Here is a 23,712-nt window from a genome sequence, read left to right on the forward strand (position 1 = left end):
GTTCACTGCAGCACTACTCACAATAGCAAAGACATGGAATCAACCCAAATGCCCATCAATGATAGACTGGATAAAGAAAATGTGGTTCATATATACCAATGAATACTAGGCAGCCATAAAAAGGAACGAGATCATGTCCTTTGCAGGGACATGGATAAAACGCAGGAACAGAAAACCAAACACTGCATGTTATCACTTGTACGTGGGAGCTGAACACCGAGAACACATGGACACAGGGAGAGGAACAACAAACACTGGGGCCTGTCAGGGAGTTTGGGGGAGGGAGAGCATCAGGATAAATAGCTAATGCATGTGTGGCTTAATACCTAGGTGATGGGTGGAGAGGTTTGTTACCTATGTAACAAACTTGCAAGTCCTACACATGTATCCTGGAACATAAAATAACATTTGAAAAAATTGCTATTTGTTTCAGAATCTTCTTTTTGTTTTTTATGACTTTTATTCATACCTCAATAACCTTGAATTTCCATTATGTTAAAATGGGGCATATGCAAATTTTTGTTTCTACTTTTTCAGTGAGTACCAATAATGTAGCACCAATATATACAAATTGTGAGGATACTCCTGAAAGAAATAATTAGAAAAAAGAGCTAATCAAGAATTAGAAAGAGAAGAAAGATTTATGGTCTCAAGGAAAAAATTTTAAAATTGAAACTCCAGGCAAACTAATCAGAAAAGGCTGTTTTTTGTTTATTTACCACTGATCTGTCAGCCTTTGCACTAATAACATTAATTTTATGACTTTATTATTAATTTGTCTTTTTCTTTAGTTCTGTTTTTTAAATACAGCAATGAATGAAGTTTCCAGAGTATCTTCAGTAGCATCTCTACCTTTCATAGCATTACACTGACATTTTCATTACTTTTTAAATAGCCTGATTTTGTGGTTTTGATTTCCTTTTTCCCTCTAACAGCTTTATGGGATAAATTCCCAAGTAGTTTGTAAATTATAAACTTTTGTTAACTTCTAGTTGTACTGTACTATTTTTTTTAAAAAAGTCTCCTTTGTGGAATTCAGCAGTTTCATGGATCAAATTATGTTTGAATTTTGAAACGTCCCAAATACATTTGTTCATTCATGTTCCTATTATACCTTTGCCAATTTTTTACCTCTTTAAATGATTCAGGTTTTTTTTTGCTTTGGTTTATCTGCTATTAAAATCAGCTTTATTAAGATATAGCTTACATCAGGCCGGGCGCGGTGGCTCACGCCTGTAATCCCAGCACTTTGGGAGGCCGAGGCGGGTGGATCATGAGGTCAGGAGATCGAGACCATCCTGGCTAACAAGGTGAAACCCCGTCTCTACTAAAAATACAAAAAATTAGCCGGGCGCGGTGGCGGGCACCTGTAGTCCCAGCTACTGGGGAGGCTGAGGCAGGAGAATGGCGTGAACCTGGGAAGCGGAGCTTGCAGTGAGCCGAGATTGCGCCACTGCAGTCCGCAGTCCGGCCTGGGCGACAGAGCGAGACTCCGTCTCAAAAAAAAAAAAAAAAAAAAAAAAAAAAAAAGATATAGCTTACATCAATAAAATTTGCCAATTTTAATTGTATAATTAAATGAATTTTGGCAAATGTATGCAGTCATGTGACCACCACCATAATCATGACATTGAACATTTCCATCATTCTACATGTCCTGTTACACAGTCAATGCCTTCCCTCCATGCTCTGACCCTACTCAACCACTGATCTGGTATCACAATAGCTTTGCCTTGTCTAGACTTTCACATAAATGAAATTATACCATCTATAGCCTTTTGTGTCTGGTTTCCTTCATTCAGCACAAAGCTTTTAGGATTCATCCATGTTGCTTTATTCATAGCAGTTTATTCCTTTTTTGTGGAGTAGTATTCCATTGTACAGTTATATGCCACATTTTGTTTCTCCATACACCAATTAATAGATGTGAATTATTTCCAGTTTTGTGCTAGTATTAGATATGTTTTCATTTCTGTTGGGTAAATACCCAGAAGTGGAATTGCTGTGCTACATGGTAAACAGATATTTAACTTATTAAACAATTGCCAAACAGCTTCTCAAACTGGCTGTACTATTTCGCATTTTTATCAGCAATTTCTAAGAGAGTTCCAGTTACTTACCATCCTTGTTTGCACTTAATACTGTCAATTTTTGTTTTGTAGCTGTTGTATTAGGTGTGCAATAGTACCTCAGTATTGTTTTAAACTGCATTTTCCTAATTACTATGACAGCAAGACTCTTTACATGTGTCTATTTGCTATCTATAGCTGTCCTTTCGTTAAGTGTCCAAATCTTTTGCCCTTTTTAATTAGGCTGTTTGTTTTCATATCAGTGAGCTGTAAGAGCTCTTAAAATATTCTAGATACAACATTGTATCAGATAGTGCTTTAAAAATATTTTATCTAAACCTATAGCTATAAAATATTTTCATTTTTGTAGCAATGCTTTCAATTTTCACAAAGTCCAATTTAGCCCTTTTTTCTTTTATGGTTCATGTTTTTGTATCCTGAGAAATCTTTGCTCAACCCAAGGTTACAATTATCCTATGTTTCTCTTATAAGTTCTACAGTTTTAGCTCTTAAATATGTCTTTGATCCACTTCTAGTTAATTTTTAAACATGACATGATCCCAAGTTTATTATATATGAATATCTGATTGTTCCAGGACCATTTGTTGAAAAGATTATCCTTGCCTTTAGTGAATTACCTTGGCAACTTTGTTAAGAGTCAATTGAACATATATATTTGAATCTATTTCTATACCCTATTCTGCTCTACTGATTTATATGCCTATCTTTATGACAATTCCAGATTGTATTCATCACTATTGCTTTATAATGAGTTTTGAATCAGAAAGTGTAATTCCAACTTTGTTCCTTTTCAAAATTGTTTTGGCTGTTCTAGGTCTGTTGTTTACAGTTCCCAATAAATTTCTGGTTTTTTGACTACTTCTATTAATTTCTGAGAGAGGATACTGACATATCTAACTGTAATTGCTGATTTGTCTATTTCTCATCTAGATTTTAAAGAAAAAGAAGTCTCCTGGCATTGATTAGGATTGAATTTAACAGATCATTTGTCAGAGAACGGACATTTGACAATGTTGATTCTTCTGATCCATGAACATGAATATCTATTTACTTAGGTCTTTATATTCAGCACTTTGAGGGGTTCAGTGTACAGCTCTTGCACATTTTTGATAAATTTATCCCTGAATGCTACACATTTTTTCTATTATAATTTTAAAATTTAATTTCAAGTGATTCATTACTGGTATAGAAATACAATTGGTTTTTACACATTGACCATATATTCTGCTAAGCTCCCTAATACAGACGGTCCCTGAATCACAATGGTTCTATTTATGATGGTTCAACGTATGATTTTTTTTACTTTATGATGGTGCATAAACACGCATTCAGTAGAAACCATACTTCCAAGTATCTATACAATTATTCTGTTATTCACTTTCAGTACAGTATCTAATAAATTATGTGAGATATTCAACACTTTATTACAAAATGGGCTTGGTATTAATTTTGCACAACTGTAGGCTAATGTAAATGTTCTGAGCACACTTAAGGTAGGCTAGGACAAGCTCTGATGCTTGGTTGCTTAGGCGTATTAAATATATTTTCAACTTACAATACTTTCCGTTTAAAAAGGACATAATCCCATCATAAGAACCACCTGTAACTTCTAGTAGCACTTTTTTTGTAGATTTTTTTGGGATATTAACATAGACGATTATGTCATTTGTGAATACACAGTTTACTTCTTCCTTTACAATCTGTATGCCTGTAAAAATTGCATTACCGCATTCGTCAGGGTCTCCAGTACAATTGTGAATACACACAGTGACTGACACATGCTCAGCTTAGAGCAAAAGCATTCAGTTTTGTGCCATTAAGCATGATGCTAGCTGCATATTTTTTAGATGCCCTTTATTAGGTTGAGGAAGTTACTGTCTATTCTTTTTTTTTTTTTAGACTAGTCAAATGCAGTACTGAGAGTATGAGTAGAACAAGGAGTTCAATCTGTAACTGACTGTGAAAAATCCCTTGAGATAACTCATTACCTTAGACAAGTCTCATCTATTGCTGGTTTAAGAATGAGTAATAAATGTTGTCAAGTCTTTTTTCTCCATTTATTGAGATGATCTCATGGTTTTCTAATTCAATCTTTGGATATGGTGAATTACATTGGATGCTTTTTCTAACACTGAACTGACAGTATATTCCTGACATAAACTCCAGCTAGACATGGGGTATTATCCTTTTCATAAGATTGATTTTCTAATATTTTGTTGAAGATGTTTGCCATCTATATTTAAAAGGATTTTGGTATGTATTTTTCTTGCAATCTTTGTCTGGCTTTGGCAGCTGTGTAATTATTGCCCACAAAAAGGAGTGGACAAGGATCACCTCTTATTTTACAGTCTGGAAGAGTCTGTATAGAATTGGCATTATTCTTTCATCAAATGTTTGAGAAAAGTTACTAATGAAGCCACCTGGGAGTAGTTTCCTTTGACAAAAGATTTTTAACTACAGATTCCGTTTTTTTAAAAGATATATAATGTTCGAGTTATCTATTTCTTTTTGAGTGAGCTTCAGTAGTTTGTGCCCTTCATGTAATTTACACATTTCATCTAAACTGCTAAATTTATTGTCATAAAGTTACTCATAATACTCTTATTATCCTTTTAAGGTCTGTAGCATCTAAAGTGAATACCCTCTTACAATCCTGATATCGGCAATTTGCGTCTTCTTTCCTTGTTTCCCAATCAGCCTGGTTACAGGTAGTACAGAAAACAGTTAATTCATGAGCCTGGGTTGCTAAAAAGCTGCAAATCCCAAGAAGGGCATATTTTTAGGACCAGTCCTTGAAATGTTGTGCTTGATAAGAGTGTTTCTAAATGCCTGAAGCCTTGGGCCACACTGTAACAGTTTTGCCAGAAAGCTTATGTTAGCAATGTGATTTATGGTGAACATGTGTTTTTGCTTTGGGGGTTTGGAGTCTGAGCAGCTGAGGTCGGTGACACAGGCACTGAATGCTCTGCCTCTACACAAAGCCCACATAGCCCTCTACACAAAACCATGAACATCAAGGCTTGGGTTGAGCTTCCCTGGGTGGCAACACTTTGCACATTTTGTCACATGTTGTTGGAGGAATTAAGTGAGTCCCTTGCAACTCTACTGGGGGGTGTACCTGAAAGCTTGCACCTGGTTTCTCCTGGGCTGTGTCCCATGCACCTTTTCCCTTTGCTGATTTTAATCTGTATCCTTTTACAGTAATAAATGGTGTGGGTATAACAGCTTTTGAGTCCTGTGAGTCTCTCTAGTGAATTATCAAGCCCGGGGGTGGCCATGGAAACCCCCAACACATATGATAACCAATTTTATTACTCTTTTAAAAAATTACATTTGGATTTACTGAAGGTTTTCTATTTTACTGATTTATACTCTTCTTATTTCTATCCTGTGTTTATTTTGTCTAATTTGTTCTTCACACTTTTTTAAGGTGAAAGCTTCAATGATGGATCTCAGACCATTCCTCATTTTTAATGTAATGCTACAAGTTTCCTTCTAAGTAATGCTTCAGCAGCATTCCATAAATTTTGATATGCTGTAATTTCATTTTTAGTTAGTTCAAAATATGTTCTAATTCTTTTGTGTTTTCTTCTTCAATACATTGATCTGGGGTCTTATTGAACTTCCAAATATTTGGTGATACTGCAGATAACTTTTGGTTAACTATTTCTAATTTGATGCTGTTGTGGCCTAAGAAAACATTTTGTATTATTTTAAAATTTTCTTTTACATTTAAAATTTTTATTTAATTTTTATATATAAAATAAAGCTATGTAGACTTGTTTTATGGGCCAGAATGATGTCTGTCTCGGTGAATATTCCATATGCACTAGAAAACAATGAGTATTCTGTGTTTGTTGGGTACAATGTTCCCATAAAACTCAACTCAAATTTGTCAGTTACTGAAATCTACATTCTTATTGATTTTTTGACTACTTGTTGTATCAATTTCTGAAAGAGGATACTAACATATCTAACTGTAATTGCTGATTTATCTATTTCTCATTTCATTTCTATAGGTTTTTGCTTTGCATATTTTGAAGCTTTGTTATGAGTTTCATACACAGTCAGTTATATCCTTGATACTGACACCTTTATCATTAAAAAGATTCCTTTTCATCTTTGGCAATATTCTTTATTGTAAAATATACTTTCTCTGCTATCAATATAACAACTCCAGTTTTCTTTTTACTAGTGTTAGCATGGTATATGTTTCCATTCTTTAAATATTAACCTACCTATGCCCTTACATTGAAAGCAAGTTTCTTATAGTCAACATATAGTTGGGTCTTATTTGCCAATCTGACACTTTCTACTTTTTATTTGGACCATCCACATTTAAATTATTCTTGATATTGCTGAGTTTAAATACACTATTCTATTATTTCCTTTCTGTTTGTCCTATTTGTTTTTTGTCTCTTTGTCCTCTTTTTTTTTTTCTTTTTTTTTGAGACAGAGTCTCGCTCTGTCACCTAGGCTGGAGTGCAGTGGTGTGATCTCGGCTCACTGCAAGCTCCACCTCCCGGGTTCATGCCATTCTCCTGCCCCAGCCTCTGGAGTAGCTGGGACTACAGGCGCCCAACACCACGCCCGGCTAATTTTTTGTATTTTTAGTAGAGACGGGGTTTCACTGTGTTAGCCAGGATGGTCTCTATCTCCTGACCTCGTGATCCACTCGCCTCGGCCTCCCAAAATGCTGGGATTACAGGCGTGAGCCACCATGCCCGGCCCTCTCTGCCCTCTTTTCCAACTATCTTTCTCAATAGATTTTTGTGATTCCATTATCATTATTGGCTTTTTAGCTATCCTTTTAAAACAAATTTATGAAGACTCTAGGTTTTATAATACACATATTTAGCTTCTCATTGTTGATATGGTTTGGCTCTGTGTCTCCACCCAAATCTCATGTTGAATTGTAATTTCCATGTGTTGAAGGAGGGGCCTGGTGGGAGGTGACTGAATCATGGGGACGGATATCCCCTTGCTGTTCTCGTGATGGAGTTCTTGCAAGATCTGATTGCTTGAAAGTGTGTAGCACGTCCTCCTTCGCACTCTCTCTCTCTCTCTCTCCTGCTCTGGCCATGTGAAGTCCATGCCCGCTTCCCCTTCACCTTCCACCACGAATATAAATTTCCTGAGGTCTCCCCAGCTATGCCTCCTGTATAGCCTGTTGAATTGTGAGTAATTAAACCTCTTTTCTCATAAATTACCCAGTCTCCGCTCTGTTGCCCAGGCTGGAATGCAGTGGTGTGATCCTGGCTCACTGCAGCCTCTGCCTCCCAGGTTCAAGTTGTTCTCCTGCCTCAGCCTCCTGAGTAGCTGGGACTACAGGCATTTGCCACCACACCCGGCTAATTTTTTTTTTATTTTTAGTACAGAGAGGGTTTCACCATGTTGGCCAGGCTAGTCTCAAACACCTGACCTCAGGTGATCTGCCCACCTTGGCCTCCCAAAGTGCTGGGATTACAGGCATGAGCCACAGCGCCGAGCCTCAGGTAGTTCTTTAGAGCAGTGTGAGAACGGACTAATATGAAAATTGGTACCAGAGAAGTGGGGCATTGCTATAAAGATACCTGAAAATGTGGAAGTGACTTTGGAACTGGGTAACAGGCAAAAGTTGGAACAGTTTGAAGGGCTCAGAAGAAGACAGGAAGGTTTGGAACTTCATAGAGACTTGTTGAATGGTTATGACCAAAATGCAGATACTGATATGAACAGAGATGGCCAGGCTGACGAGGTCTCAAATGGAGATGAAGAACTTATTGGGAACTGGAGTAAAGGCCACTCTTGCTATACTTTAGCAGAGACTGGCGGCACTGTGACCCTGCTCTAGAGATATGCAGAGCACTGAACTTGAGAGAGATGATTTAGGGTATCTGGTGAAAGAAATGTCTAAGCAGCAAAGTGTTCAGATGTGGCCTAGTTGCTGCTAAAAAACTATGCTCATTTGCATAAAGAAAGAAATGACTTGAAGCAGGAATTTATATTTAAAAGGGAAGCAGAGCACGAAAGTTTGGAAAATTTGCAGCCTGATCAAGAGGTTAAAAAGAAAAACCAGTTTTCTGAGGAGGAATTCTAGGCTGCAGAAATGTGCACAAATAAAGAAAAGCCAAATGTTAATAGCACAGACAATGGGGAAAATGCCTCCAATTCATTTCAGAGACCTCCACAGCAGCCCTTCCTATCACAGGCCTGGAAGCCTAGGAGGAAAAAATGGTTTCATGGGCCAGGCCCAGGGCCTCACTGCTCTGTGCAGCCTTGAGACATGGGGCCCTGTGTCCCAGCTGCTCTGGCTCCAGCTGTGGCTAAAAGGGGCCAAGATACAGCTCAGGCTATTAATTCAGAGGGTGAAAGCCTCAAGTCTTGGCAGCTTCCATGTGGTATTGAGCCTGTGGGTGTGCAGAAGGCAAGAGGTGAGGTTTAGAAACCTCTGCCTAGATTACAGAGGATGTATAGAAATGCTTGGATGTCCAGGTAGAAGTCCACTGCAGGGGTGGAACCCTCATGGAGAACCTCTACTAGGGCAGTGCAGAAGAGAAATGAGGGGTTACAGCCCCCACACAGTCTCCACTGGGGCACTGCCTAGGGGCACTGCCTAGTAGATCTGTGAGAAGAGGGCCACTGTCCTCCAGACCTCAGAATTGTAGATCCAGATAGTTTGCACCATGCACCCAGAAAAGCCACAGGCACTCAATGCCAGCCAGTGAAAGCAGCTGCAGGGGCTGTACCCTGCAGAGCCACAGGGTAGAGCTGCCCAAGGCCTTGGGAGCCTACCCCTTGTGTCAGGGTCGTCTAGATGTGAGACATGGAGTCAAAGGAGATTATTTTGGAGCTTTAAAATTTAATGACTGCCCTGCTGGGTTCTGGACTTGCATGGGGCCTATAGCCCCTTTGTTTTGGGCAATCTCTCACTTTTGGAATGGGATCATTTACCCAAACCCTGTCCCCACATTGTATCTTGGAAGTAACTAACTTTTTTTTTATTTTACAGGCTCATAGATGGAAGAGACTTGCCTTGTGACAGATGAGATTTTGGACTGTGGAATTTCGGGTTCATGTTGAAATAAGTTAAGACTTGGGGAACTGTTGAGAAAGCATGATTGTGTTTCGAAATGTGAGAAGGACATGAGATTTGGGAGGGGCCAGGGGTGGAATGATATGGTTTGGCTCTGTGTATCCACCCAAATCTCATGATGAATTACCACATGTTGAAAGAGGCACCAGGTGGGAGGTGACTGAATCATGGGTGTCAACTTCCCTCTTGCTGTTCTCATGAGTTCTCCTGAGATCCTGTTGTTTGAAAGTGTGTAGCACTTCTCCCTTTGCTCACTCTCTCTCCAGCTCTGGCCATGTGAAGACTGTGCCTGCTTCCCATTCCACCATTATTGTAGTGTCTGGAAGCCTCCCCAGCCATGCCCCTCCAATACAGCGTGCTGAACTGTGAGGTGACTAAATCTCTTTTTTTCATAAATTACCCAGTCTCAGTTAGCTCTTTATAGCAGTGAGAGCAGACTAATACAATTTTCTACCATTAAATAATGCCACTTCACATACATTTTAAGAAATTCAGCCAGGCGTGGTGGCTCACGCCTGTAATTGCACTTTGGGAACACAAGGCAGGAGGATCACATGGACCCAGAAGTTCAAGACCAGCCTGGGCAATACAGTGAGACACTGTCTCTACAGAAAAAAACAAAAATTAGCCAGATGTGGTGGTGTGCACCTGTAGTCCAAGCTACTGAGGGTGTGGAGGTGGGAGAATTGCTTAAGCCCAGGAGGTGAAGGCTGCAGTGAGCTGTGCTCTCACCACTGCACTCCAGCCTGAGTGACAGAGCAAGACCCTGTCTTAAAAAAAAAAAAGAAGAAAGAAACTCACAAAAGTATACTTCTATTTATTTCCTCCCATACTTTGTGCTACGTGGGTCTTACAGTCTGAACATTTGTCCTCTCAAAAACTCACGTTAAAATTTAGTCCTTAATTTGGCAGTATTGAAAGTTGGGGCCTTTTAGTGGTGATTGAGTAATGAGGACTTTGCCCTCGTGGGTGGATTAATCCATCAATGGGTTAACCAATTTATGGATTAATGGGCTAACAGATTAGGGCAGGGGTCCTCATGCCCCAGGCCTCAGACCAGTACTGGTCCATGGCCTTTTACAAATCAGGCCACACAGCAGGAAGTGAGTGGTGGGTGAGAGCATTATTGGCTGAGCTCCACCTCCTGTCAGATCAGCAGCAGCATTAGATTCTCATAGGAGCAACAACCCTATTACAAATGACGCAGGCAAGAGACCTAGGTTGCACGTTCCTTATGAGAATCTAACTAATACCTGATGATCTGAGATGGAACACTTTCATCCTGAAACCATCCCCCCCGGCCCACTCCATGGAAAAATTGTCTTCCACAAAACTGGCCCCTGGTGCCAAAAAGGTTGGGGACGGCTGGATTAGATCATCATAACGGTGGGGCTGGTGGCTTTATAAGAAGCAGACTTGAGCTAACACATTCAGCCCCCTTGGCATATGATGCTCTGCACTGCCTTGGGACTGTAGAGTCCTCACCAGCAAAAAGGCTCTCATCAGATGTGAATCCTTGACCTTGGACTTCTCAGCCTTAAAACCCGTAAGAAATAAATTCCTTTTCTTTATAAATTACGTTTCTGGTATTCTGTTATAAGCAACAGAAAACTAAGACAGTTGTTAAATCATTTACTTCTACAAATAAAGGTTGAATATCCCTTATACAAAATGCTTGAGACAAAAAGTGTTTCAGATTTCTTTGGATTTTGTATATCTGCATTATATTTACTGGTTCAACATCCCTAATTTAAAATTCAAAATCCAAAACGCTCAAATGAGCATTTCCTTTGAGCATATTCATGCTCAAAATGTTTTGGATTCTTGACCATTTTGGATTTCAGATTAGGGACACTCAACGTTTATTATAAATCCTATTAAAAAAACCTAATTATTCTTGCTTTTATAAAATATCTTTTAAAGAGATTTTTAAGTAAGAGAAAAATCCTTCTATATCACGTTTACTATTTGTTGTGCTCTTCTTTTTTGTAAATCAAAATTTCCACTTGGTATTGTTGTCCTTTTTTTTTTTTAACACTTTTTTATACTACAGGTTTACTGACAAATTCTTTCAGCTTTTGTGCACCTCAAAAAGTTTTTATTTCGCCTTCATTTTTGCAAGGAGACATATCTTGCAAAAATGAAGGCGAAATAAAAACTTTTTGAGGACCGAGAATTTTAGGTTGACAATTTTTTTTTCATTCAGTATTTTAAAATATTGTTCCATTGTCTTTTAGCTAGAATAGTTTCTGATGAGAAGTCTGCTGTCATTATTCTCCTATATAAAATGTCTTTATTTTCTCTGGCTACTTTTAAGATTTCCAATTTATCCTTCATTTTCAGAAACTGTAGTATGATTTTTTCATATTTCTTCATTTATGACCTGTTGAGCTTCTCTGATCTGTGGGTGTATTGTTTCCACACAGTCTACAAAGTTTTTAGTCATTATTTCTTCCAATGTATTCTGTCCCCACTCCTCAGGTTTCAAGTACACATAAGTTAAAATGCCTAATATTGTCCTATAGGTCATTGGTGTTCTCTTCCTCCTCCTCTCCAACTCCTATTCCAAAGGCCTTTTTTAGTGGTATGCTGTTAAACTCTCCAGTAAGGATAGGGCAGTATAAACAAAAAGCCTAGTCTAGTGTTTACCAACTTCCATGATGTAAGTATTCACATAAATAGCCAATTTCAAGTTACTAATGGTTTAACAACCAGTTTACAAAATTCCCTAATATTTAACAACCAGCTCTTATAAACCTGGACAGGCCATGCCAGCCCACCACTGTTTTTTTTTTTGTTTGTTTGATTTGAGTAATTTATATTGTTATTTCTTGACATTTACTGATCATTTTAATGCACTGTCCAGTATGCTAATTGCATACAGTCAATTTAAAATTTTGAATACTTTTATTTTTTTAATCTGTAGAAGTATAATTTGGTCTTTGAAAATATGTTCTATTTCTTTCTTTTACATCTTTTTTATGTTTTCCTATTCCTCTCCTAGAGTCTGTTTCTATTGATTGACTTATCTTTTGGTAATGGGTCGGGTTATCTTTCTTTTTTTAAATGCCTGGTAGATTTGACTGAATATCTGACATTATCAATTTTATATTGTTGGTGGCTGGATTTTGTTGGGAATCCTTTAAATACTGCTGGGCTTTGCTCTGGGATACAGTTAAATGACTTCAACCAGTATAATCCATTTAAGGCTTTTTTTTTTTTTTTGAGACAGAGTCTCACTCTGTCACCTGAGCTGGAGTGCAGTTGTGAGATTTCAGCTCACTGCAACCTCCACCTCCCGGCTTCAAGTAATTCTCCTGCCTCGGCCTCCCAAGTAGCTGGGACTACAGCTGCCTGCCACCACACCTGGCTAATTTTTTTTTTTTTGTATTTTTAGTAGAGACAGGGTTTCACTATGTTGGCCAGGCTGGTCTTGAACTCCTGACTTCGTGATCAGCCCACCTTGGCCTCCCAAAGTGCTGGGATTACAGGTGTGAGCCACCACACCCAGCCCATTTAAGGCTTTTTAAATTTAGTTACCCCCTGAAAACACTAGGGTTCTAAACTTGTTTTTGACACAGCCAAGGTAATTACAGATTTATAAGCTAAATCCAGGCCAGCACTTATATAGGTGAATGAACACATGAAAGATATTATTAATACCTAGGAAACCATGAAGATTTTCTACCCTTTTAAAATCAATTCACTGCACAAAACAAAAAGTTTGAGAGAATGTAATTCATAAGATGAAGAAGCTATCACTTCTACAAAAGAACTATTATAAAAATAAAGTGAGAGAGGATAAAATCAAGATAATACGGTATACACAATAAAAGTGAGGAAATTTTGGCTCAACTATCCCCTTTTAAAAGAATGTATACGCAACTTCATAAATAATTATAGCTACAATTTGAGTGCTTACTCTTAACAATTTATATTTATTTGTTCCAGTTACTATTGCTGAGTATCAAACCACTCCAGACTTAGCAGTGTAAAATAATAAGCAGTTTATTATGCTCTGAGCCCAGTATATTCTCTTTATTTATCAAGCCCCTCTTATCTAATTCCTGATGCTTTGATTCCACAATCCATCACTTCAATCATCACCCGCCATTTTCATGTACTTCCTATCCATACACTTGTCTGGTAAAACTGCAGGCACTGTTCAAATTTAGTGAACTTTACTTCCATAATTATAACCAGGCTATTGAATACTGCTGGAAAAACCTGAACCACTTCAAAGACAGTGTATTAGTCCATTTTCACACCGCTGATAAAGACATAACTGAGACTGGGCAATTTACAAATGAAAGAGGTTTAATGGACTTAAAGTTCCACATGGCTGTGGCCTCACAATCATGGTGGAAGGCAAGGTGGAGCAAGTCACATCTTACATGGATGGTGGCAGACAAAGAGAGAGCTTGTGCAGGGAAACTCCCATTTTTAAAACCATCAGATCTTGTAAGACTTATTCACTATGATGAGAACAGCATGGGAAAGACCTGCTCCCATGATTCAATTACCTCCCATTGAGTTCCTCCCATGACACACGGGAATTTTGGGAGTTACAATTCAAGATGAGATTTGGGTGGGGACACAGCCAAACCATGTCACATGTTGTACTGTTACCTTTCTACCAGCATTCTACCAAAAAGCCTTGCTCGCTACCTTACTACTAATAAACTTTTAAATACCTTTTTGATAAGCAAAAATATCTTGGTATTCCAATCTGAATCTCTTTTAAAATATTACTACATTTTATTAGTCAATGTTATTTTCTCTTGTATCTGGTTTTATTTTTTCATTCCTTTTGCTCACTTAGCTGTTATCTTAATATTTATGACATCAATTTATGCAACTTCTTTACAAGTTAACAAAAGGGATGAAACTTACTCATAATTTTGTTCCAAGGATTATAGGATAATTATAAAATACTCAGAAGGTCCTTCTTATTCCACATTATGTAGCTGCTCAATAAGTATTAGCAATTATTATCACTAGCTATATGTAAGACTATTAATGCTATGACTATAAAAATATTACATATTTTTCTCAGTGAGTTGGTTTTTGACCAAAAAAAAAAAAACTTATACATTAGATTTATTCATTCATTCAACAAATACTTATTGAGTCTTCTGTGTGCAGGCAGAAAATGCTGTCTTTATTTGGGAGGTCTTTTATCCCTTTTAAGAACAGAATATCTTTCCACACTGGAATGTTAAACCAGCCAGCCATTTTTAATTTCTTATGGAAATATCTGCCTATTAGATTTTTACATTTAAGTTTGTTAGTTATCTGAAATGTAATTTTTAGTTTGTGAGATAAAATTCCTTCCCTCAAAAGCTAAAGCAACCTAACAATAATATTTATTAATTATATGTACAATTTCTTTTTTTTTTTTTTTTTAAGACAGAGTTTCGCTCTTGTAGCCCAGGCTGGAGTGAGGTGGCATGATCTAGGCTCACTGAAACCTCCACCTCCCGGGTTCAAGCAATTCTCATGCCTCAGCCACTCAAGTAGCTGGGATAACAGGTACACAACATCATGCCTGGCTAATTTTTTGTATTTTTAGTAGAGACTAGGTTTCAACATGTTGGCCAGGCTGGTCTTGAACTGCTGGCCTCAAGTGATCTGCCTGCCTTGGCCTCCCAAAATGCTAGGACTACAAGTGTGAGCCACTGTGCCTGGCCTTTTGTTTTAAATATTTAAATATTTCAGTTAATCTTCCTTTTGTATTTTTCTGCATTAACTTTAGCCTAATTTTGCAACTAAAGAAATCATCCACTGGAAACCATTACAATTGGATTAAACCTAAAAATTAATCTGGAAACAACTGGTATATATAAAGTGCAACCTATGTGTAATATCTACTAATAAATTTTTTCTATTTGAATCTGTATTTTTGGAAAATTTACTTTTAAGATCTTTCAGGACTTTTGTAGTTTCTATGTAGGTGATATCTATCTGTTAATTTTTGTATTTTTCTCCAATATTTTCTTATTGTTTCTAGCTATAATCTTTAATTTTGTATACTTATTTTGTTCACACAGGTTGATTCACATAGGTTTTCTAATATTTGCATTCAAACCATCAATAATGATCATTTGTTCTCCTCACTAAGTGTCACATTATTTGTCCACACTGTACACTACACACTGGCATAACAGGGAGCCTGTTATGGCTCACACCTGTAGTCCTAGCATTTTGGGAGGCCAAGGCAGGCACATCACCATAGAATCAGTAGGACCTGGATTCACTATTATTAGTTATATGATCCTGGGTACATTTCTTAACCTCTGTGCCTCAGTTCTTCAGTTTATACTGATTTTATAGGATGCATGTGAGAATTAGATGAGTTAATACATGTAAAGCACTTATTATGGTGCCTGCTATGCAACAAATATGGACAAATACCTATTGAAAAAAGCTATCATATCTTTATGTTTCATGCCTTAACATATTTACTTCAAGATTATTAAACAGTTACGATGAAAAGACATCTTCCCTTGCAGGTCCTGATTTTAAAGGAAGAACCTGTAGGCTAGGTGTCTCCCTTTCCAAAGGGACCCATGGAAAACTATCGAAATCATACATAATATACCATGTATACTGTGGATTTAAATTTTCCTAGAACCCCACAGCATGCTCTAGGTTTGTTGCTCACATGTATGGTTTTAACACACATGAACACCAATGTTCTAAAAAATCCATTACTATCCTATTTCCAATTAAAATATGATAGCTTTTTTCCTTGTTATTTTTATATTATATGGTTTTATTCAATTTATTTGCACTAACATCTTAATATTGACTGATATCCAATTATTAAGCAGTTCTTGGGGGGAACTATCTGGCTGAGATAGGTTATTCTTTTAACAAGATTAATTTCAATGTGTTCATATATTTATATAGAGTTTTTTGTTCTCAACACACATTCATAAATGAGACAGCTATAAGTTTCTTTTCAGGAAGAAAAACATAGACAACTGTCTATATTTTTGCACACTTTTACTTTTAAACTTTATGTCATTTTGTTTAATGTGTGAATCTTGCAAGTAAAATACCTGATATTTTATTTTATTTATTATTAGTATTATTTTTGAGATAGGATCTCCCTCTATCACTCCGGTTGGAATGCAGTGGCATGATTATGGCTCACTGCAGCCTCGACTTCCCAGGCTCAAGCAATCCTCCCACCTCAGCCTCCCAAGTAGCTAGGACTACAGGCGCATGCCACCATGCCCAGGTAAGTTTTTATTTTTTGAGAGACAGGATCTTATTATGTTGCCCAGGCTAGTCTTGAACTCCTGCACTCAAGCAATTCTCCCACCTTGGATTTCCAGAGTCTTGGGATTACAGGCATGAGCTACCATGCCTGGTCCTGATATTTTAAAAGTCTATTTTTGAACCCACTTTTTAAAATAGGAAGCTTAAACTATTTACATTTATTGTCATGACTCAGTTTGCTCTTACTTAAATTTCTTATTTCATTACATTCTTTTAAAAAAACTCACTTAATTTTTTTAACTCTGACAACTTAGAAAGTGTAATAATCTATTTTATATATATACTTGTTTTATTTATTTCAAACTCTAGGATGAAATAATAACTTTTAACTATACGCTAGGGACAAGAGTAATGGTTACGTGACTTTTTCTTCCTAAGCTAGGATGCTTTGCTCAATCTTTGAAAACAATTTGGTTCTGTTCTCTCACATTATCATATACATATATCTAATGTAAAATCTTCAGGAATTATTCTGGACATATATAATAATTAAGAAAGTTCTACATATTTAACTGATTTCAAAGTTCATCCAATGGTATTTTTGGATCATAAATTTCCCATCAAAAAAATTTTTAACTGATACATAATAGTTGTACATATTTTGGGGGTACATGTGATATTCTGACACCATATACAGTGTATAATAATCAAATCAGAGCATCTGAGATACCCATTACTCCAAGCATTTATCTTTTATGTTGGGAACATAAATCTTCTCTTCTGGCTATTTTGAAATATACAATAAATTATTAACTGTAATTTCCCTACTGTAATACTGACTACTAGAACTTATTCCTTCTAACTATATTTTTGTACTCCTTAACCAACTTCTCTTCATCCCTTCCTCTAAGATCTTAAGATGTTCTATTCTTAAATTCTTAACTTTGATTCATATCTAGAAATGGTACTACATCTTTAATAAATCTTAAATCTTTTTTTTTTTCCAGGGAGGGAACACTGATATTTCTCTAATAATGCACATATGTTTACAACTACCATCACAAATGACTGACAACTTAGGTGACCAGATTCCTCAGGCTACAATTTTTCTCTTAGTGCTCTAAATATTTCTCCATTGTCTTTTGGATTTAGTGTTTTTACAGAGAAGTCTCAAATGTACTATATGTTTTTGTGTTTAGGTGTCTGCAATATTTGACTCTTAAGATACAAACAAAAGAATTTTCTAGATATAGTTCTCATCTCATAAATTTTGCCTGGAATGCAGGATGACTCATCTCTTCAGAAATCTCAGCAAGGTTTCTTCATCATGCTCATTATTGTTTCTGCTCCACTAGTACTGTCCCGGGATACTTATTTGTGGGTCAAATATCTTTCTATGTCCTCATCATTTATTTCTTTCATTTTAGTTTTGGTCATTTCTTCCCACCTCGAATTTGTCTCCCACTTCACTGATTAGATTTTTCCGTAGTGTCAATTCCATCATTTTAGGCCTGAGATATAGTTTTAAGGAAGCAACTGAAGAACATGAACTTTAAAATTGCAGAGACTGTGGTCTTAAATCCCACTTATCCTATTTTAGACTAAATGACCTAAGGAAATCACCTAACATGTCTGTTTGTCTGTTTATAAAATTTCTCATGTGCAAAAAAAGAATCCCAATATCTATCTTGCATGATTAACATGAGATTTAGAAATAATATTTGTAAAACTCTTATTATTGTGCCTTATATATAACTGGAATATAAGATGAACCTGCCATTATTATGAATCCCTATTTTGACTTTTTTCCTCGCTTAATTTTATTTCAGACTGCTCCATTTCTCATCTCAGCCTGTTCTGTACATAGGACTCCCTGTTCTTCTTTCAAGAAGAAGTCCTATCTTTTCAAATTTCATTAAAATAGATAATATTGGGTTGTGGTTAAGGCAGTGGATTCTGCACTTCCACTCAGTGTTTGAATCCTGGTTCTACCATTTACTATGTAACTTTCAGCAAGTTACTTAACTTCTGATGTAGTTTTCTCCTGTACAGAAATAAAACCCTGTAATTTCGTCGTTTGTATTAAACGACTAAATATATATAAAGTGTTTAGAAGAGTGCCTAAAGATAGAAAGCATTAAGGCATCTAGCAAATGAAAGCAGCTATTCCTCTTTTACTTCCTCAAGTTAATCATGTCAAAAATATTTTGTTCTCCTCTAAGTCCTTTAGAAATATTCCTGTTCTTTTGAGCTGCGAAATATCTTCCCAAATATTTGTTCCTAGTGTACTTATTTCTGAAAGAAAAGAAGCCTATTCAGTCCTGGTGTTTGCAAAGAGAGGCTGGATAAATTATGCTTAGTCACCTCACACTTATGTGCCCCTCAACATTTAAACTGGACCTTAGGTAAATGGACATAGCCTCTGCCTATTCTGATTATCCATTTAATTTAAACCTTGGTCTAAATTGCATTTTGTTCATGGCTCACAACTCCCAGTTCTTTAATACTAAGAGACAATATGAGGTTCTTCTCTGAGCATAAAACATCTCTGCAGACAACTGTTTCCAGGGTTCTTTTTGCTTTTGCCCAACATAAACCACTCCATCTGAGGGGAGCGCATATATCAATAAGCAATGTTTCATCCTCCATGTCACTATTCCCTACCATATTGTGCACTAGTACCACCAGAAAAAGCACATGCTATTTCAGAGCAGCAATCACTATGGGAGTGCTAATCTGTCCATTCTGTCAGTAGTTCGAAATTTTTGTGCAGTCGTACACCAGTGTATACACTATGAACCCTCACATATGTGCAGCTGGATTTTGGTCAATTTTACTACTTGTTTTTGCCTCACTTCAGAATTTATATTGTTACATTGACATCTGCCAGACAGAATACTAAAATGAACAGGTCTTAAGAAAAAATGGGGTAAATCTTACTACAAGCAAAATGTAGGATTATAACTCATTATAAAACTCCTGCCAAAAAAAAAAAAAAAACTATGTACCATTTACACAAGAGCCTGTTTATTTTTTTCTGTGAGGACAGAAGAGATAATGGTCAAAGTAGTAAAAAGTGCAACTCAAGTAGGGAGATAGGTATAAAGAGGGCATAGAGCATTAACTGTGGATGCCAATACAGACTCTTTATGATTCCAAGGGGATCAGGTTGTAGTTAGTTGCTGATTTGCTTAGTCTTTGAGCACTGTATTTTTAATTCCTTCAAGTGTGCTGCCAAAGATTCTATCATTTGAAAGTGTGCCTCAAACATAAAAGGATAATTATTACCATACGGCCATTGATTTCTCCTGGTTCTGTTGGGTAGAATCACACAGAAATAGTTTAAATAAGCACAAGCTATTCAATATCTGAAGTTAAGATACTACTTCCTAAGTTCTTCACAATTCTGGGTTAAAAATATTTTCTTCAAAAATGTTATCATGGCTAGTTTTGAGTTTCCCCACTATCTCTGGTCATTTTCCCCACTGTGTGTGTGTTCTTCCTGTAGGACAGCACTCAAGAATGAAGTCAATATTCTCACAGTGATGTTGATTCTAATATAAACTTTATTTTTACCACATGTTATTGACCATGACATAGTGTTACTGTTTTTAATTTTCAAAATTCCTTAGAATTTTAACATAAAATGCAGCCATATCTGCATTTTATGCGCATATGTAAATCACTATTACCCAATGATCATTTACTTACTGAGATGTTTTCTTCAGACCTGACAAGTTTTTTCTTCAGTTTTTTCTTTTCACGCATTAGATCACTGTGGGTCTTAAGCAATTCTTCAAAGCGAACTTTGGTTTTTACTTTTGCTTCACTCTCAGCTACAAAAGATACAGCCATGTGATTTTGTAAATGACTCTATCATAACACACAACCTACACTACTAGGATGTTAAGAAATAAGTTCTTGTAAATATCGGCATGAGTTCTCTAGCTACATTAGAAAAACTCACCTATCTTTCCTTCTTAAAATATTTTTTATTTTGACTTTAGTGACACAACATTCACCTGTATCCCTCTGACCTTTTTGGCCACTCACTCTAAAAGTCTCCTTTGCTAAGTTAACTTTTTATTTCTGATAAACAGTAGCATCTACCACTGTTAGTTACGTGTTATGTGGCTTTAGACAAGTTACTCAAGATCTCTAAACTTCATTTTCCTTATCTGTAAAATCACAATTATCTTATGCCAAAGATCATTTTGCATGAAAAATGGCTAAGGTGTGCCTAGCCTGTAATCAGTATTCCACAAATATTAACAGGTTTTTCCTTTAAAACATGAAGAAGATAATGCTTAAGCCCCTGAAAATTTCCCAATACATTTAGGATAAAATAAGTCTTTTATATGCCCTACAGGGCTCCATACCTCCTGATCTATCTCCAGGGCTTCAAATCAAGACAAATATCCCCTTAGATGCCTATGTTCTAGCTATAATACCCTTCCTTTAGCTCCTCCGTCACAGCAAGCTCCTTCCCACATGAAGCTGTTTCTGAGGCAAGCTTCCTCTAATTCCTCACCTGGCTGGTGTTAACCTGTCTGTTTAAATGCTGCCTGTAAATAAAACACCTCCTGACAAACTCATCTAATTTTCCCTTTTCTCACATAGCAGGTTGTTCTCTTCCTTCACAGCACTCAACCCAAATGGAAATTATATAATTATTTTTATATCTATATAAAGAAACATATTTTCTGTTTCCCCCATAACTACATCCCCAGCTACTATTATGAGGTCTGACATAGTGTACATAGTCATTATGTTTTAAATTAATAAATGCTGAATGAATGGGTGCTCTAGAGCAAGTGTCGGCAAACTATGGCCTGCAGGCTAGTCACTTGTTTTTGTAAAGATTTATTGAAATCAGACATACCCATTTGATTAAGAATTGTTATAACTGCTTTCATGCTTTAAAAGAGACAGAGAGACAGAGTTGAGCAGTTATAGCAGAGACTAAGCCTAAAATATTTACTAGCTAGCCCTTTTAGAAAAGATTGCCAATGCTTGTGGTGGAGTAAAACATTCAATTTTGATGATAAAGAATAAAAACTAACCCTATGTTGTAATCATTATTTACCTTGTCCATCTGAGTCCCAAACTACCATCCATTAAATACATACTAACCTTAATCACAATATTAAATAGAAAACTGAATACAAAACCAATAAGTATCTCTAAATGTAGTATATTTGGTCAATGACATCTACTGTATTCATTAATCTGTTCAAGAATCCCTTAAAATAAACCAAACTTAAAAGTAAATGTATAAAATATAAATTTTATACATAAATTTCATAGAAGTCTTACCTGTAGGCATCTCTCAGCTTTATGCAGAGGACTGAGAATGCAAAGCATTGACTCAATCAGGATCCTATCGAAACAAAGGAGATGTATTTGTAATATGGAACTTCCAAATAAAAATTATAAAACGTTCTTCACACAAGATCATGCCATTGTATGTCCACTACTTCATTAAGTTTATACCAATAAAGCTATGTTCCCTTAACCCAATCTTATGCAAATGACTTGGGTACATTTGAATCAGTTTAGGGCTCTAAAATCAAGGGAAACAAACTAGATCATATCTGAATAAAGTATTTATATATTTGAAACAAAAAAAACATTTTGAAGGCAGTGCACATCTAATGTGGTATGTTAATAAACTTTTTAAAGTGTTTTAATACATTAATGAACATTTCAACGCACTTTTAAGAAACCAAACTCCATCTCAGGATTGACTTTCCTAAGAGCATTCAATATTACATTAAAGCATGCTTGTGGGTAGCACACTCACAGTGAATTTAAATACCTCTGTGTCTGCCACTGAAAATTCTGCTACAATAGAGAAGGATAGTACAAATATTTGCACCATCTTTCTTTAATAAAACCTGGATGTGTATTACTGTGTCAGAACTACTCAAAACCATGGTTCAACTCAGTATGTATATTACTAAATTGCCCATTTTATTAAAAAAATCGGTGTATGTCTAAAATGAACATATTCTCACATTAGAACATTTAGAATGTAATATGCATGTTTTTGAGACTAAAACTGAAGAGTGTTAAAAAAAAAGCTGGTTCAGGAATTATTGATTTGTTTGTTTTTGAGATGGAGTCTCCCTTTGTCGAGTGCAGTGGTGTGATCTCGGCTCACTGCAACCTCCGCCTCCCAGGTTCAAGCGATTCTCCTGCCTCAGCCTCCCGAGTGGCTGGGATTACAGGTGTGCGCCACCACACCCAGCTAATTTTTGTATTTTTAGTAGAGACAGGGTTTCATCATGTTGGCCAGGCTGGTCTTGAACTCCTGACCTCATATGATCTGCCCGACTCAGCCTCCCAAAGTGTTGGGATTACAGGCGTGAGCCACCACACTGGGCCCAAGGCATTATTGGTTAATGCTCCAATTCCCTGGACATCCACATTCATGTTCCTCTTGCAGAAATGTCTAAGAAATTCTAAAAAGAAAGGAATGATTATGTAAACATACCTAACTATGTCAGTTAACTTAGGCAACAACTACGTGGCACCCAGTCAAAACAGACATCACTAAATCCATGGAGTAAAAATTCCTATACTTTAGTGATAGGAGCCTGTATTTACTCCTTCTAGCAGTTATAAATTTAATAAATCTAGTCTTCTACTTTCTAGTCTATATTAAATTAGAAAAGAGAAGCTGCAAAGGCAAGTGCAATGACAGCATGAGTAATTGAAACCTGAGAGCACGGAAGTAGAAAAATCATAAAACAAATAAAAATTTAATATTTATACTACTCGATGGTCATCTAATAGGCCAGGAAAAAGCTGACCTATATTATGACTATGATTCATCAAAAAAAAGCCTGCTGGGCGCCGTGGCTCATGTCTGTAATCCCAATACTTGGGAAGGATAAGGCGGGTGGATCACTTGAGGTCAGGAGTTTGTGTCCTGTCTGGCCAACATGGTAAAACCCCATCTCTACCAAAAATACAAAACTTAGTCAGGCGTGGTGGTGGGTGCCTGTAATCCCAGCTACTGGGGAGGCTGAGGCAGGAAAATCGCTTGAACCTGAAATGTGGAGGTTGCAGGGAGCCAAGACTGCACCAGTGCGCTCCAGGTGATGGAGTGAGGTAATATTTTAGAAAGATTAAATAACTAATGAAGAGGCAGGAGAAAGAATCGGAGATAATTCCCATGTTTCTAGAACTAGAATAAGTAGATTAGTAGTATCATTACACTGTAATATAATGCAGTACAGGGCAGTAGTTTAAAATCCATGTCCTAGAATTAGTTTCCATAGTCACTTGCGTGACTTTTGTTTCCTCATCTATAAA

The 23,712-nt window shown here is 36.6% G+C and overlaps 1 protein-coding gene across 23 annotated transcripts in view; it reads right to left on the reverse strand.

Annotated features, from left to right (window-relative positions):
- Positions 1–23,712, reverse strand: part of AHI1 (Abelson helper integration site 1) — a 214,209-nt gene that overhangs the window by 186,988 nt on the left and 3,509 nt on the right. For all 23 annotated transcript variants that reach the window (XR_001743480.3, XR_007059277.1, XR_007059276.1 and 20 more), the window contains 2 exons: positions 21,709–21,772; positions 20,104–20,228 (listed from right to left, as the gene is read on the reverse strand). Coding sequence is in view for 19 of the 23 variants with exons in the window: in XM_047418943.1 (XP_047274899.1) it covers positions 20,104–20,228; positions 21,709–21,718 (135 nt within the window). In the remaining 4 variants the exon portion in view is untranslated. The remainder of the gene's footprint in view (positions 1–20,103; positions 20,229–21,708; positions 21,773–23,712) is intronic.

This window comes from Homo sapiens, chromosome 6 (genome assembly GCF_000001405.40).
Source record: "Homo sapiens chromosome 6, GRCh38.p14 Primary Assembly".
Classification (NCBI taxonomy): Eukaryota; Metazoa; Chordata; class Mammalia; order Primates; family Hominidae; genus Homo; species Homo sapiens.